The 15,800-nt window shown below is 38.6% G+C and overlaps 1 protein-coding gene across 2 annotated transcripts in view; it reads right to left on the bottom strand.

Annotated features, from left to right (window-relative positions):
- Positions 1-15,800, bottom strand: part of FBN1 (fibrillin 1) — a 237,397-nt gene that overhangs the window by 73,801 nt on the left and 147,796 nt on the right. For both annotated transcript variants that reach the window (NM_000138.5, NM_001406716.1), the window contains 13 exons: positions 15,153-15,278; positions 13,987-14,112; positions 13,356-13,475; positions 13,010-13,147; positions 12,091-12,141; positions 10,348-10,473; positions 7,738-7,965; positions 6,255-6,380; positions 6,000-6,128; positions 5,199-5,324; positions 4,962-5,087; positions 3,261-3,383; positions 1,705-1,830 (listed from right to left, as the gene is read on the bottom strand). In NM_000138.5, coding sequence (NP_000129.3) covers positions 1,705-1,830; positions 3,261-3,383; positions 4,962-5,087; positions 5,199-5,324; positions 6,000-6,128; positions 6,255-6,380; positions 7,738-7,965; positions 10,348-10,473; positions 12,091-12,141; positions 13,010-13,147; positions 13,356-13,475; positions 13,987-14,112; positions 15,153-15,278 — 1,671 coding nt within the window. The remainder of the gene's footprint in view (positions 1-1,704; positions 1,831-3,260; positions 3,384-4,961; positions 5,088-5,198; positions 5,325-5,999; positions 6,129-6,254; positions 6,381-7,737; positions 7,966-10,347; positions 10,474-12,090; positions 12,142-13,009; positions 13,148-13,355; positions 13,476-13,986; positions 14,113-15,152; positions 15,279-15,800) is intronic.

Consider the following 15,800-nt stretch of genomic DNA (forward strand, 5'->3'; position numbering starts at 1 on the left):
CAGTCTGCATGATGATAACAATTTAGTTTTCATATTTTGAAAGAAAGGATAGATGAACTGGTTGTCTTAGTGTAAGTAGTTTAAGACTTCACTTCTTTTCCAAATTAAAAATTATTCATTTTTTATGACATTCATTTTAATTCTAGGACTTCAAACATTTTCAGTAAAGGCTTTCAGAAGATAAATGTGATAAAAATGTAAATATAATCAATACCAGACTCTTGCTTCTGGCCAAGATAGAATAACAGGAATTAAAATTATATTCTCAGATGAAACAACCAAAAAAAATAGACAATAGATACCTTAAAAAGTGGTTTTCTAGACATTGGACATTAGGCAACAAAAGACAGTGATCCCTGAGAGAAAGAAAAACTAGGTGAATCCTACAATTGCCCGAGATTACTGAATAGGAGAGTTTTAACTTCATGGCATAAGGAGGAGGTACCAGATGGAGCCAGGCACTGTCCTTGAGTTGAGGAGATGAATCTGGGCATCCTGGAAGGCTGAGGTAGTTAGGGTTCATAGGGCAGAGTAAAGGACAGGAGAGAGCTACACAGAAGAAAGCAATGCCAGAGATTTGCTAAGAGTCTTCTGCAAGTATTCAGATGAGTAGTGACCAGCACATTCATATAAGGAAACAAACTACTCAAGGCTGGGGAAAGCACTACCCAAGAAAATGAGAGGGAACAATCCTCAAAGTTCACAGGGGGTCTGGGATTGTGCCTGTTCCCACCAGCCTGACTGGAAAGCCTCATAATTCACAGGGAATTGGGTAGAATATCCAGAAGGGTCTTACCTCACTAACAGAGCAAAATTACCCCTAGACTAAGTGTAGCTTAAAAGCTTAAAAGCAAGACTTTGAAAGGGATCCATGTGTTTCCAAGTAATTTACACTTCAGAACAAAGTTCAAAAATATTTCTAGGAATACAAAAATATCTAGCACTCAGTAAGGCACAATTTACACTATCTGGTATCCAATCAAAAATTACCAGTCACTCAATGAAGCAGGAAAATATGACCTAAAATAAGGAAGAAAGTCAATTTATTCAAATGACCTAGAACCAATGCAGATGACAGAATTAGGAGACAAAGACACTAAAAGTTGTTATAACTGTATTCCATGTGTTCAAACAGCTAGAGGAATGATTGAACTTATGCAGAGACACAGAATATATGAAAAAATACCCAAGTCGAACTTTTAGAGGTGAAAACTACAACATCTGAGATGAAAAATACACTGTATGTGAGGAAAGGCAGATTAGAGATCGTAGAAGAAAAGTTTATCAAATTTGAAGGCATAACAATAGAAACTATACAAAACAAATAGATCAGTTCTAAAGTTTACTGCATTCTTGTCAGAAGTAAATTTTGTTTGCCTTTAGTCAAGGATTTAAAAAGCCTACATGATAGTCAAAGCAGAAGGAGGGTTAAGTGGACAAAAGTAATGGATAGGCATAAAAGAAATGTCCATCTGGAGCTGACGAATGGCCAGTCAGTCCTCATAACATATCTGACAAGAGTACCATTTAATAGCCACAAGAAAGCTCTCTTTGGAATGCTGGTTAAAATATGAGTATTGTGCCTCTAAATATCCTTACTTTTCCTATGGAATCTTTCTATCACTGACCCAAACTAACTTTATGTAATTTAACAGTGCTTATGACTAACAAGACAAGATGAAAAATTCTGTCTTCTTTGCTTACCTACACAAGTCTTCATGTCTTCAGATGCCATGAATCCATCATAACACAAGCACCTGTACTCTCCAGGGATATTTGTGCACTGACCACCATCACAGATATTGGGATTATCTTCACACTCATCGATGTCTGCAAAGAATAAAACCAACAACCACAGGTTGTTGATATTGGTTCCACTGTTCAGTGAGAAAACATTAACTGACCGCAGTCAAATAAACTTAGCCTACTAGCATAAGACTATTAACTCTCAAATCCAAATGAAGCTTTGCATAAACTAGCCCATTGGGTTATCCTTGGTAAAAAAGGAAAAAATATTTTTCAATATTTATAATATACTGCTCAAGGGCAACGTCCACACCTGCTTAAAAGTCTATTATTTATTTAAAATCTTTCTTTCATTTAATTTATCATTCAAAAATTATTATAAATCTTATTTTCCCTATTGTCAAATTATAAATGCCTGAATTCTATCAACTGTTTTAGCAATATTTTAAGGTAAGAATTACTTGAAATAACCATACCTACTTAGATGCTCTTAGTAATAATATTTACTTTCAACAATTTTTTTTTTTTTTTGAGACAGAGTCTCACTCTGTCACCAGGCTGGAGTGCAATGGCGCGATCTTGGCTCACTGCAACCACCGCCTCCCAGGTTCAAGCGATTCTCCTGCCTCAGCCTCCCAAGTAGCTGGGATTACAGGCATGTGCCACCACACCCAACTAATTTTGTATTTTTAGTAGAAATGGGGTTTCACCATGTTGGTCAGGCTGGTCTTGAACTCCTGAACTCAGGTGATCTGCCTGCCTCAGCCTCCCACAGTGCTGGGATTACAAGTGTAAGCCACCGTGCCTGGCCTTATTTTCAACAATTTTTGTAGCCAAATTTATATCTAGATTTTTTAAGGGACATTTTTCTAGGTCAGTAAAATAATTTTGGTTCCTAAATCCAAATTCTCTTCTTAAGCCAAGCCAAAATCAAAGCCTATGTTATTACCCACTTTGTTTCTCACCTCTACCTGGCTCACAGCTCTCGCAGCCAGGGTGATACAAAAGGAAGTGTAAATTAGACCACTGGTTCTCAAACTTTAGCATGCATCCAAATCATTTGGAGAGATTGTGAAAACAAATTCCTGGGATCTACCTCAGTAGTTTCTGATACGGTAGATCTGGAATGGGGCCTGAGATTTTACATTTTTTTAACAAGTTCTCAGGTGATGCTGTTGCCAATGGTTCAAGGAATAAACCTGGAGTTGCACTGAATTAGGCCAAAACATCAAACTCTTCAAAAGTCTGGTCAATGAAGGAAAATGTATTTTATATTCCATTTATTATATGCCAGGTACTATGGTAAGCTCTGTAAATACTATTTTATGCAGGCAATTTGAACTTCATTTTATAGATGAGGATTCTAATAATAGGTATCTTGATTAAGGATACAGTTAAAATATATGACAAACAAGGGTTTGGACTCAAGCCTGCTTGACTCCAAAGCCTGGGCCCTAAACTACTTTACTTAGGAACCTACTGAGAGATTCAACATGAGGCTAGAACCTACTCACCGGTGCATGATCTCTGGTCAGGCATTAGTGCAAATCCCGGCTGACAGCTACATTCATAGCTGCCTTCAGAGTTTGTGCAGAAGGTTTCACAACCACCATTCATTATGCTGCATTCATCAATGTCTAAAAGAAATGAAAATAATATCACCTTCTGATATGGTTTGGATGTCTGTCCCCTCCAATACTCGTGTTGAAATTTAACTGCCATTGTAACACTATTTAAGAGGCAGGGCCTTTAAAAGAGGTAATCATCCTATGAGGGCTCTACCCTCATGGTGGGATCGGTGCTGTTATAAAAGATCAAGTTCAGCCCCCTCTTGCTCTCTTTCACCCTCGTGCTTTCTTCAATGGGATAACGTAGGAAGAAGGACCATGCAAAATCCTGGCTTCTTGATATTGGATTTCCCACCCTCCAGAACTGTGAACTAATAATTTCTATTCATTATAAATCACCCAGTTTCAGGTATTCTATTACAGTATCACAAAAATGGGCTAACACACCTCCCTCTGTGTTTATGAGCATGGCACATTTTTAACATTTCCAGGCATACGTCAAATAAAGGGGAAAAAGCATTCTAGGGCAACTGAGTCACTGATTCCTTCAACAAATGTTAATGACATACCTACTATATGCTAGAGATGAGACTCTAATAGTGAATGGGACAGACACAATCTTTGACTTCAAAATGATTACACTGTGGCCAGGAGACAGATGAACAATTAATTGCACCATGCATGATGTGCCATTTGCAATGCAGGAGAAGTATTGGGTGCTAGGAGAACACATCTCAGTTATGATAATAGGCACGTGGATGAAATTCTCTTGGCCACAGATTCACTTATAAACTTGAAATTCAGTTTGATTGGCTGAGGTTCCAATCTTTTTCAATAACCTGAGTTGAAGTTCTGAGTTGTCCTGGGCCATGTTTCAGAAAACTTTGGGCTGATTTATGGTTTTGGGTGGAAACCATGTGAGACTTGGCAGTTCCACATGGTGTACACCCCAAACCAGGCAAAAACTGGCAGTTTCTACAAAGTTTCACTTTGACTCGGGGCACAATAAAGCCACAGGACTGTCTGTGCCACTCTTCACAGCACGACTAAACCTACAGAGGGCTGACCACAAAGCAAAATTCTTGTCCCACAAAAACCCATCTTTAAGGAGAGCCAGGCATAGCCTCAATTGCAGTGTAAGATATGAACATTCCATGGTCTTCTTTCCAATAGTTATTTTTTTGAAATCTTTTAGCTGATCTAAACCACATAAGGGCAGTGATTTCAACTCAGCTTTCTGCTCTTTTCCACAGCACTCACCGTGTTTAGTTTATTTCAGGTGGTTAGTTACCATTTGTTAATGTGCATTGGTATGCATGTGTGTAGACAAAGCACATGCTGCTACTGTTCCCTATCCAAACGGCATGGGTCAAATTATGCTTATTAGAGCTAAAACATCCTATGTCCTTCACTTAACTGGCTCTTTAAACAGATAATGGAGATGAGATCCAAAGATCGTGAGCCACTATAAAAAGAATATTGCAGGGAAACAAGAAAGATAAGTAAAAGTAGCGATGAAAACAAAACTCAGAGTACATAGAGTGTTTTAGGGAGAGATGAAATAAAATAAAATAAAATAACATAACATAACATAACATAAAATAAAGTAAAATAAAATAAAATAAAATAAAATAAAAAAGAACTTACCAACACAAAATAGCCTATCGGGAGTTGAATGGTAGCCAGGGTTGCAGGCACACTGATACTTCCCTATGAGGTTCACGCAACGGCCATTGGGGCACAGGTGTGCACTCAGCTCACATTCATTGATGTCTGTCGGGAAAATAAGAAGAACAAACACCCAAACATAAGCTTCCAACTTTGGCAATGATGTCATTCAAACAACTGACCACAAGTAAATGGTGTGAAAGTCTTTCTCCTTACCGATACACGCGGAGATGTTGGGGGACAGCTGATGGCCAGGCGGGCATTCACAGCGGTAACTTCCCTCTGTGTTATGGCAAACACCACCTCGGCATAGGAGAGGATCTCTCTGACACTCATCAATATCTGCAAAATGGAAATGACCATGTTAAAGGTGGGGGCCTCATCTCCTCCACCAGACCAAGCACTCCTCCCCCACCCATTGCTGGGTGTCCATCTTGACCTCCTTGTCTCAAGGTGGGACAACTCTCTGGTGCTATTCATACACCAGATCTCCCTGCAGGATCAGACTAAAACCAAAATGCAGCCAAACTCTTGGTTTATTTTCTTCTCCTGCACTACCCTGCTCTCCTTACTTCCTGACAAGTACCTTCTGAGAGAATTTGCTCACAGTAAGAAATACCACTTTTGCAAGAATCTCCATTTCAAACTTTGTTTCTAGGAAACCAGACCTAAAGCAACAAGTTTACCAATCACCTTTTCTAGAAGTGTTGGACAGACATCTTGTAAAGGGACCTCTACTACAGCTTCTGTCTCAATTGTCCTCTCTTCCGCCTGGGTATCCATTTCAGGTGTTAAAATCACTTCTCAAGGGCCCACAACTGGTCTCCGCCATCACCCACAAACCCACAGCATGAATTCCCTCATTCTTTCTACCTCAGTCTCCCTCTGTTGCAGACTGATTCCTAACTTCACTGGTTGCACTGGGGCAGCAGGAAGAACCTGGAACATAGGCTATGAGCCATCAAAGCTTCATGGAATCCTTCTCTTTCTGTGTTGATCAAATGATCCCAAACTTACCCATGCAGTTCTTCATCATCATGAATCCACTTTCATAGCCTTCGTCACACTTGCATTCAAAGTCCCCAGGGGTGTTCACACACTGGCCTCTGCCACAGAGGTCAGGAGATATGCGGCATTCGTCAATGTCTGCACAAAAACAGCAAGTGGCAGCAAATGAGTCTCAGGACAGCCTTAATTCTTGCGACAATATGTTAAAGATAAAGAGTTTTAAAGGACGTCCCCTCTCCTGGCCCTTAAGGCTCATTAACTGACCTGTGCAGTTCCTTTCTTCAGAATCAAGAGCAAAGCCGCTGTCACACCTGCACTTAAAGCTGCCAATGGTGTTTCTGCACTTGCCGTGGGTGCAGAGGCTGGGTATCATCTTGCACTCATTGATATCTTCAAGAATAAGAAAATGTGGGGCAAAATAAGTTTATGAGCAAGCAGTCAGGAGGTCTCAATGCCCACCATTTTAAATCATGAAGGTTGGAAGTTCTTGATTTAAGGTCTTGGCAGTATACATTTCCAAGAATGTGTGATGATCCATGAGATATATGACTTTGTAAACATTTCTAGCCTTTCAAATTTCTACATTTTATAAAGCATTGTTAAAGAAGCAAATAATGTGTCTATTCAGACTTCTAGGGCCCAGCACACTGCCTGACACATAGTGAATATTTAACCACTACTTGCTGAGTGAATAGATAATATATTCTAAACCACTAGTATCTATATTTAAAGCACATAGAACATTATTAGAATATATTATCCTACAGCTATCAATTGACTGTGTAGCAGAATGAGATATTCACTTAATACTGTTTGGTGCTTTTTTGGATATGCCAAAAATATAAAAATTTCAAAGATATAATTTATAATTTAAATTATTTGCAAATAATTTGTACAATTTAAAAATATTTTCTTAATGTATATACCTTAAGATGTCTTTCTTTCTTTTTTTGAGACAGGATCTGCTCTGTCATCAAGGCTGGAGTACAGTGGTGTGCTTGGCTCACTGCAACCTCTGCCTCCCAGATTCAAGCAATTCTTGTGCCTCAGCCATCTGAGTAGCTGGGATTACAGGTGTGCACCACCATGCCTAGATATTTTTTTTTTTTTTTTTTTTTTTTTTTTTGTAGACACAGGGTTTCACCATGTTGCCCAGGCTGGTCTTGAACTCCTGGACTCAAGTAATCTGCCCACCTTGGCCTCTCAAAGTGCTGGGATTATAGGCATGAGCCACCGCATCCAGCTCAAGATCTCATTAATATAATTTAAAGAGCTTCTTGTACACTAGAAAACTGCATACATGTAACATGTGACCTGAGTTTCCCACTACAGGGCCTTTTTCCAAAACAAGACCAAACACTCAAGAAATACGCAAGTAATTTCTACATGTAAGACAGAACTGGGAGATTAAATCTCCAGAACACCAAGTCCTTCTTCAGCAATGAATTACCATAGCTTTTGGAAGCAAAATTAAAGTTCCTTTGAGTTTACGTAACTGACATTTAAGAGGGCCACCTAGAAACTATCTGAAACTATCTCTCCATACAGAACAATTTTAACCCCCAGGACTTCTTGGACCAAACAGTTAAAAACAAAAAGTTCATACTTTTCTAAACAAAGATAATTATATAATTCAGAAAGCAAAAAGTCCATGCTGGGATGATCAAGTAGAGTGCTGAGATCATGAAAATGCATCCTATTTGTCTAAAAAGGGAGGCAATTGGCCATGGAAAACGTAACATTGTACCTTTGAAGAAAGGCTTTCCATTTGTAATTTCTTTTGTGGCAAATCCGGGTCCTCTCGGACACAGCTCCTCGTACTCAGGAGTATTTCTCATGGGACACTCCTCGCATTCCTCAGTACCCCAGGCTGCCCCGACGGAGCAGCAGCAGGCGTCCATGCGGTGGCGGCCAGCAATAGGCAGGGTGCACTCCTCGTCCTCGTACCTCAGGAAGCAGGTTTCCAGGCGGATATCTGTCAGAGGGAATCAAGGGAGGTTAAATAGAGCCACACGGCTTCCACTGCCCCAAACTGCCAACACTCTGTTAGGTAAAATACTGCACACATAATAATTTGCTGTATACTTATTGACTGGAATTAGTTTTATTCCTCAAAAAAAACCCCAGGCTCTGGGGTAAGTATCCTTGCCTAATAAAGACTCTCTTTGTCAGCCCATGTTTGCACCTCCTACTTCTGAAAAGTTCCCTTTCAACATCTGATAATTCTACATAAGGAATGGTATTCTGAGAGATCCCACAGTGTTCTTTCGGGAGATGTTTTTCTCCTGTACAGAAATACCTATCACCGATGCGTGCATGCCATGATGTCTTGGCATGTCCTCCACAGCTAAAAGCCAACTGTACTCTTTATTGTTGGAGCGTGTCTGCCCTAGTGCAATCACCTTTTCCTCCGACCCACTTCATTTTTGGAAAGGTGGAATGATGAACTCTGGAAAGAGGACTGCTTTACTTGAGATTAAAGAGAAAAATGCAAAGAAAAGCCATTCACTTTACTTCTCAAATATTTCTTTCACCTAAACACGTGCTTAAGGGCACATTCTTCAAGGTACTTGTGGGATACCTCTAGCCCCAAACCCAAATTCATGGGATTATAAAGAAGAGCAGAAAGCCTAGCAGAGCAGAGGTCAGAAGAGCTGGATTTTGGTCCTCTTCTGTAACTCAGTGGATTGTCTTCAATAAATTATCCTAAACCTGAATTTCCACATCTGTTACAGGATGTTGCACTCATCTCTCAGAAGGTTCTGTGAAGCTCAACTGAGATTATGCATCTGAAAATAATGAAGTGTAATTGAAATGTAAGATGTATCTTCCTTCTCTTTCTCCTTCACAATGGGGTCATTAACAATATATCTAACTCCCTGGGTTTCCTCTAACGTTAGAAAGTTTTTGAAGTCTTTATATTCAGCTTTATATTCAGACTGCCCATATTAAGATAAATTATTTTTAAGTGAATCCTAAATTAAACACTGAAGCATCTTTCAACTGAAGAACCTAGAAGAAGATTCTCATTAAATACTGATTCTTCCTAAACAAATAAACTAAGACTCAGAATAGCATTAACTGACATCCTTAATTACAAAAATACTTTTGGCTTTGAATTCCCGGTTCCATTCCATATTATTTATTTACACTATAAACTATAAAGTTCAATATTTAAAGGTTTGTTAATTCTAATTCGTAAGTGATCAAAATCCTTCACTGTATACCACTTTCTTTTTCTTTTTCTTTTCTTTTTTTTTTTTTAGAGACGGAGTCTCACTCTTTTGCCTAGGCCGGACTGCAGTGGCACTATCTCGGCTCACTGCAAGCTCCAACTCCCGGGTTCATGCCATTCTCCTGCCTCAGCCTCCCGAGTAGCTGGGATTACAGGTGCCCGCCACCGTGCCTGGCTACTTTTTTTGTATTTTTAGTAGAAACGGGGTTTCACCATGTTAGCAAAGATGGTCTCGATCTCCTGACCTCGTGATCCACCTGCCTCGGCCTCCCGAAGTGCTGGGATTACAGGCGTGAGCCATCGCACCCGGCCCACTTTTTTAACTACCTACAATAGTCTTCACTGAGCCTACACTTCAAAGTAATGTGGTTTCAGATGCAAAGTACAGGTAAGCATCATTTCCAGAGTCATGAACTCAGAAACCAGTGATCCAAGGGATATACTCTAGGCAGGCAGAAGCCATAGTAGTAACACCAGAATAAGTCTGCCAGACCTTAGATGCATGAGATGTGCGATCTCAAACTTGCCACTATCACGAGCCCATAGGGACTTAGGACTTAGAGTTCTAAGGACTTAGGGTTGGGGTGAGACAATTTGGCTAGAGGATCCCATTTGGGCTCTAGCAGTTGGCACAGAATATCCCACTATGACTAGCAGTGATACCTACCCTGGGCTGAGCTTTCTCAGGTTCACTTTTCAGGGGAGTGGCATCTTCACTCCTGATCTCCACAGGTGTTTTTGCAAGGACCTGTCCTTCTGGCCAATGTCAGGGTATGCTTAGAAGACATGGGCTACAGTTTCCAAATATGTGCAAATATTGTTCTTTTCTCCACCACTCAGCTTGTATTTTATAGTTCACGGCATATGGGGCCGATTTAAGAGCTCTGGAAAAATAACTGTGATGCTAGTGATTTAAGGAATAGTTGCATATCAACAGAAACTACAGTTGCTGCTTACTATTTGAAAGACTGTCAAAGGAGTGGCCATGGACCCTATCGGACATGCTGAATTTTGGAGTGTGTGTCTGTACCTGAAGCTAAGTGCTCAGCTATATCTTGTTAACTTCATTTTTAATAATCGTTAATAAATTATTATTAGAAAAATAATGAGCTCAGTATTTACCAAGACAGATCCTTCCTGTGGCATCCAAAGTCATTCCACTGGGACACTGACACTTGAATGACCCCCTAGTGTTAACACACAGGCCATTTTTACACACTCCTGGGAACACTTCACATTCATCTATATCTAAAAAGAAAAAAAAAGTATAAAGTTAATATATCTTTATAATATCATTCTACCTTATTCTACTCATAGAGTCATAATTATTCCCCATTTTGAACCTGGTAAGTTCATAAAACTAGTTTGCCTACAAGTAGTTTGTGTAGAATTTCTAGGGTGCCTGAATAGCAACCAGAACGAGCCCACCTATTACTAAATATGTAAGAGTTTCTCCATTGGTTTCAGGGAATAACTTTTGAGTTGTAGAGACAGGCAGCTGGTGTGAGTTCTTGGAGACAGCTCTGGTAGCTGCGGACATTTCAGGTAAGGTTCCCAGCAATATAATTTGCTTTATGAGACCAGATGTCTGGAAATGAGTAGAGAAGCAAAAACCTGGTTTTTCAAACTAGCAAAGAAGAAACAGCTTGAAGTTCAGCATAGAAAAATATCCCACCAAGGAATATGTGGGCCAGTGAAGGGTCTCTTTTAAGAAGTTCTGATAAATCACCAGAAAATGTACAATCAATTCTAACTCAGCCATGGTCTCAGGCTGTTCTGTCCATGCTTTGGTCTCAGCTTGGGTTGAGGGGAATTAAAAGATACTCATGTTCATTCATTCATCATTCATCCAATCTCTCTCAAATGTACCAGTCCTTCCCAGTTTGCCTAATGGAGAGCAATATGTTCTCTGCACTTAATTTGGAAAAGTATTCACCACCAAGTTAATCAAAAGAAAGGCACTTACTTGCCAATGCCAAAAAAAAAAGAGGGGGGAACATTAGCTAAGAAACTCATACACACTGTGTCTCTATTTAGAAGAAATAACTTTCCACAACAGGAATGTTGAAAAAATATTCTGAATCTTTCCTTGTAAGAGAGATCAATGGGGAGAGGGTGGAATCTACCTTTTTGGGTTTTTTGTTTTGTTTTGGCCACTTGTACAACAAAATATGCTGCTGAGGTCAGATAAGTTATTAACAGCGGGTCTGGACCAGAGAAAGGCCAAAGGATTCAGTCATCATTTGGAAAGCAAGACCTTGGGTGGGGGTTGTAGTGTGCCTCTTTGTTTTAACAGGGAAAAAACTTCATTTCATCCCACATATGGGACTAATTGCTGTTTTTAAAATTTTTCAGCTGCTGTGTCATGTCAGGTTGTGTTAGTCACCATGACCTATGTCTATCTGAAACTCCAGGAGAAAGAATCACAGCAAACTGAAGAAACTCCATGCAGACTTTCAACAAAGAGAAAACAGAATGTGTCCTTCTAAATCACCCATGACTGTGAAACAAACAAATAAAAAATGCCAGGACAAACCAAAGAAAGGCAAATTTTACAGACTCATCAAAAACTTCCTGTTTTTCTCTTCCTGATAGCATTTTGAAAGTGCAGTCTCTCTAAACTGCGATCAACCTAAAACATTTTCAGCCACCCACCCTGTCCTTTGGACATAGCGTTCTGACACTAGCAACAGTATATATATGCTTGTGAAATTAACAGCTGTTCCGTTTTGTAGTTCTCATTATTTTTTTTCTCTGCTGCATATTTCTCCCTGTGAAGTTATATGACAGCTTTATCCAGTCCGAGTTAACACAAACATTCATTATGCACACAAAAATGTATGGTTTATAAGTAATCAGAAATACCTTCACATTGTGTTCCTTTAATTCTTGAGTACCCTTTACCACATATGGGATCTGTAATAAAAAGCGAAAAACAAAACAGAAAACAAATTTGAGATAACAATATCCAGACTTTGCAGTTCTGACATAGTGTAAGAAACATGAAAGATGACCTGGAACATGAAGTAGATTGTGTTGCTATAAGTATGAGATAACAAAATGTTTCTGCGATTGCATAGGTGAGGAAGAACAGTAATGAAATGTCTCCTCAAATAAAGCTCAATTCCACTAAGATACTCCAAAAGACACAGACGTGCCCTATAGATCATGTTAAAGTGATAGCTAAGAGGGAAACTGAAGGTAGCTTTCTCTCTTGCTGTTCACCTGAAAATAGGAATCACACTATAGAATTACTTTAACCTGAATATAGAAAACTCAAGTCTATAATTTGGAGATCTCATGGCCTCCAGCATTCACATAAATTTACACATTTATATATTTAAACATTAAATCAGCAAAACCATGAGCAAGGTTCTCAAACCTCAAGTTCCCAACAGATTTAGAAGTTCACCAGAAACCCTTATGAAGTTTAGTCATGAATACCGGTTTCTTTACATCAATTAGCTTTTTGAAAGATAATCTGTACCTATAAAAAGCTCAGAACCCCTAACCACAAGGTTCCCAAGAGAGCTGGCAGGCACTGGTGCTCCAGGGAAGCAACACAAACTAACCACATTACAATGTGAAGATAGAAAATAATAAATGAACAAAATCACATAAAATTTGACACTTCTTATTTCCCATTCAGCAATATGTTCGGGGCCATCAGGATTAAATCTTTGAAAATTCTCATGTGAGCCTAGATAAATGAAATACTAGGCTTCCCCTTTTTATGCAAAGACCATTGGAGTGGTATAGGAACCACAGCATGGGTTTCTCTTACCAACTTGGCATAGGGTGCACGGGCTTCCCCACGCAGCACCGAGGGAGGAGCAGCACTGGGACTTTAAGGTGGCTCCATTGATGTTGATCTCACATCGCCCATCAATGACAGTCTGCCAGCAAGTGCCCTTGATGGTTTCTGCAGAGGAGGGAATAATATTTAATAGAATCTATATAAAAATTCAAACATACACCTTGGAATTATAGACAAAAATAGCATTTGAAACAAGGAATAATGAAGTTTTTAATATTGTTCATCCATACTTAAATTCTTTTGCAGGAAAAGCTGACATTAAGTATAACAACATTGATAAACATAGAAAAATCATTCTCAGAAAGATAAATACCTATGCAGATGGTTTTTGTTGGATCCAAAGTACTTTCAGAAGAACATTCACAAATAAAAGAGCCTGGGCTGTTCTTGCAGACTCCATTAATGCAAGGACTTGATTCGCATTCATCAATGTCTGAAACAAAAACAGGTCTACATTACTGCTAAAATCTAGTCTTGGGCCTAAAAGAGTACTTCAACTTTGACCCCAATTGCTACTACATATCCTTAATCCCACACAGTAAAGCTGGGCTAAATAGTTTTTCCTACACTAGATGGAATGCCAAAATAATAACTCTATAGTATAGACTAGTACATCTCTATAGTATAGAATACGGGACTTGGCTGAATCTTTTTATTTAGAAAATCTGGAGTAAATGTGTATGTGATTTCTGAATGAATAGCTCAAATAGCAGACACATAACATTTTCTTTATCTATTAAATGATGGCAATTAAAATGCCAATTACAAGTAAATACCATAAGTGGCTTACAAAGTACATACTAGTGCCATGTAGAACCACAGAATTTCAACTAAACTGGCATAACTGTCTAAAATACAGGAGACTCTAATTCAGTCTTATGGTTTTCTAATGGCATTCCAAAAGATAGCAAAGTACACAGTATAAGAACAAAAATATGGTTTACCTTCACATGTTTTTAGATCAGGTTTGTAGATAAATCCCTTGGGGCAGGTACAGACAAAACTTCCAGGAGTATTTCTACATTGTCCATTGTCACAAAGGAGACTGTTCAGTACACATTCATTAATATCTGCAAAGTCAATGAAAATAAACACTTAAAAAGGGCCCAAACTTTGCCTGTATCTACTTTGCTCTTTTACATTAGATCTTTAAAGTCATAACGACGTGATCAATTCAAGCAAAAAGGCAAAACTCCTGTAGCATTAGCTTTTACCTAAACTATCTCATTTTAGGAAAACAGAGGCTTGACCTGGTTTTAAACTAAGTATCTAAACTAAATATCTACAAAGCCTAAAGTCACTAGGCTATTTAATTCACTTATTTCTTTAGCAGGAAGAAAATACAGATTTGCTGGAAATCATTAATCTTTATAGAGTTACATTATATAATTAAATTTATATAATTTAATTCATTTTGTCGAATTAAAAGGATTAACCTTATTGATTTAAGGAACTAAATAAATATTTAGAAAGTATGGTCCAACTTTGAAATGTGTTAGTTCCAGAATGGGTGTTTCTTCCTTATAATAATTCAAATTGTCTCCAGGTATGATTATAAAGTACAAAGTAATCTGTAGCATTTATGATTGTCATGGGGAATTTAGCTTCATGATTCAGGGACCTCAGGAAAACTGCTTGCTTTTAGCTGAATAATATGCCTGTCTGAAGCAAAACCCAACTTTAAGAGAGCAGGTATTCCTGAAAATAAGCTGTGTTTTTTTCTGATTAAGTCTAATAAATGGTTGGGAGAAGAGCTGCTTCTCTCTCAGTAAAATCAAGGTTGACTTTGTAGTCACATGAGAATGGCTCAGAATCTCTGCATCTTATATCTAAGGAGCTTCTCTTTGAAGGAGTGAAATCTGATACATCATTATTTTAAGGAGCAAATCATTTCAAGGAGTGAATCTGATACATCGTTATTCATAAACTGTGAAGATTCAGTGATGTAAATTTTTGTTACTAAAGATATGTATATGCTGTGCTAACATCCGAAGTATAAAGTGTCCATTTGCCCAGTCCTCTAAGCTACTCAAAGGCAGTTTTCTCCCAGCAATGAAAGAAGGAATGCATTATGCAGGCAATGTTTCAGAAAATGGGTAAAACTTCTCACCAACGCAGTTTTTCCCAGTTGAATCCACTTCATATCCTGAATTGCATATACATTTATAGGTCCCACGAAGGTTTTCACAGATTCCATTTGGGCAAATATCAGGATCTAGTGCACATTCATTTATATCTGCACCACAAAAAAGGTCAAAATCAATTAAGATTATAAAATAAATACTGAATGAATTGTTAAAAATATAACACTACAATAAATGTAATGACCTTAGGAGCTACAGGAGGAAAAAAATCGATTTCACTGGAAAGAGAACACTCTGTCTCTTTTTCTCACTGTAAGATATTCTGAGTCCAATCTTTCTCCCACAAGTTCCTGAGAGGAACTTTGCATCTCAGCTGGAACTACAAGATAACCAATCCTTAATCAAGCTGAAGGAGACCTCCTGGACTTCTCCTAGTCCAAGCACCAAGATGGAAAAATGGATCGACAGCAGATCCCAAGTCCCGACAACTGGTCTCCCTACCACCAGCCCCTCTTTCTTCCATCTACCCTGCACTACTCTACACTGCAACCATTCTTACCATCCTAAAAACAAGGTATTATATCGTTCTCATGGTTCAAACTTTCATAGGTTCAACAATATCCTCAAGATAAAACTAAAATATAAATTCTTTGTTTACTTATCCCAGACTTCAC

This window comes from Homo sapiens, chromosome 15 (assembly GCF_000001405.40).
Source record: "Homo sapiens chromosome 15, GRCh38.p14 Primary Assembly".
NCBI lineage: Eukaryota > Metazoa > Chordata > Mammalia > Primates > Hominidae > Homo > Homo sapiens.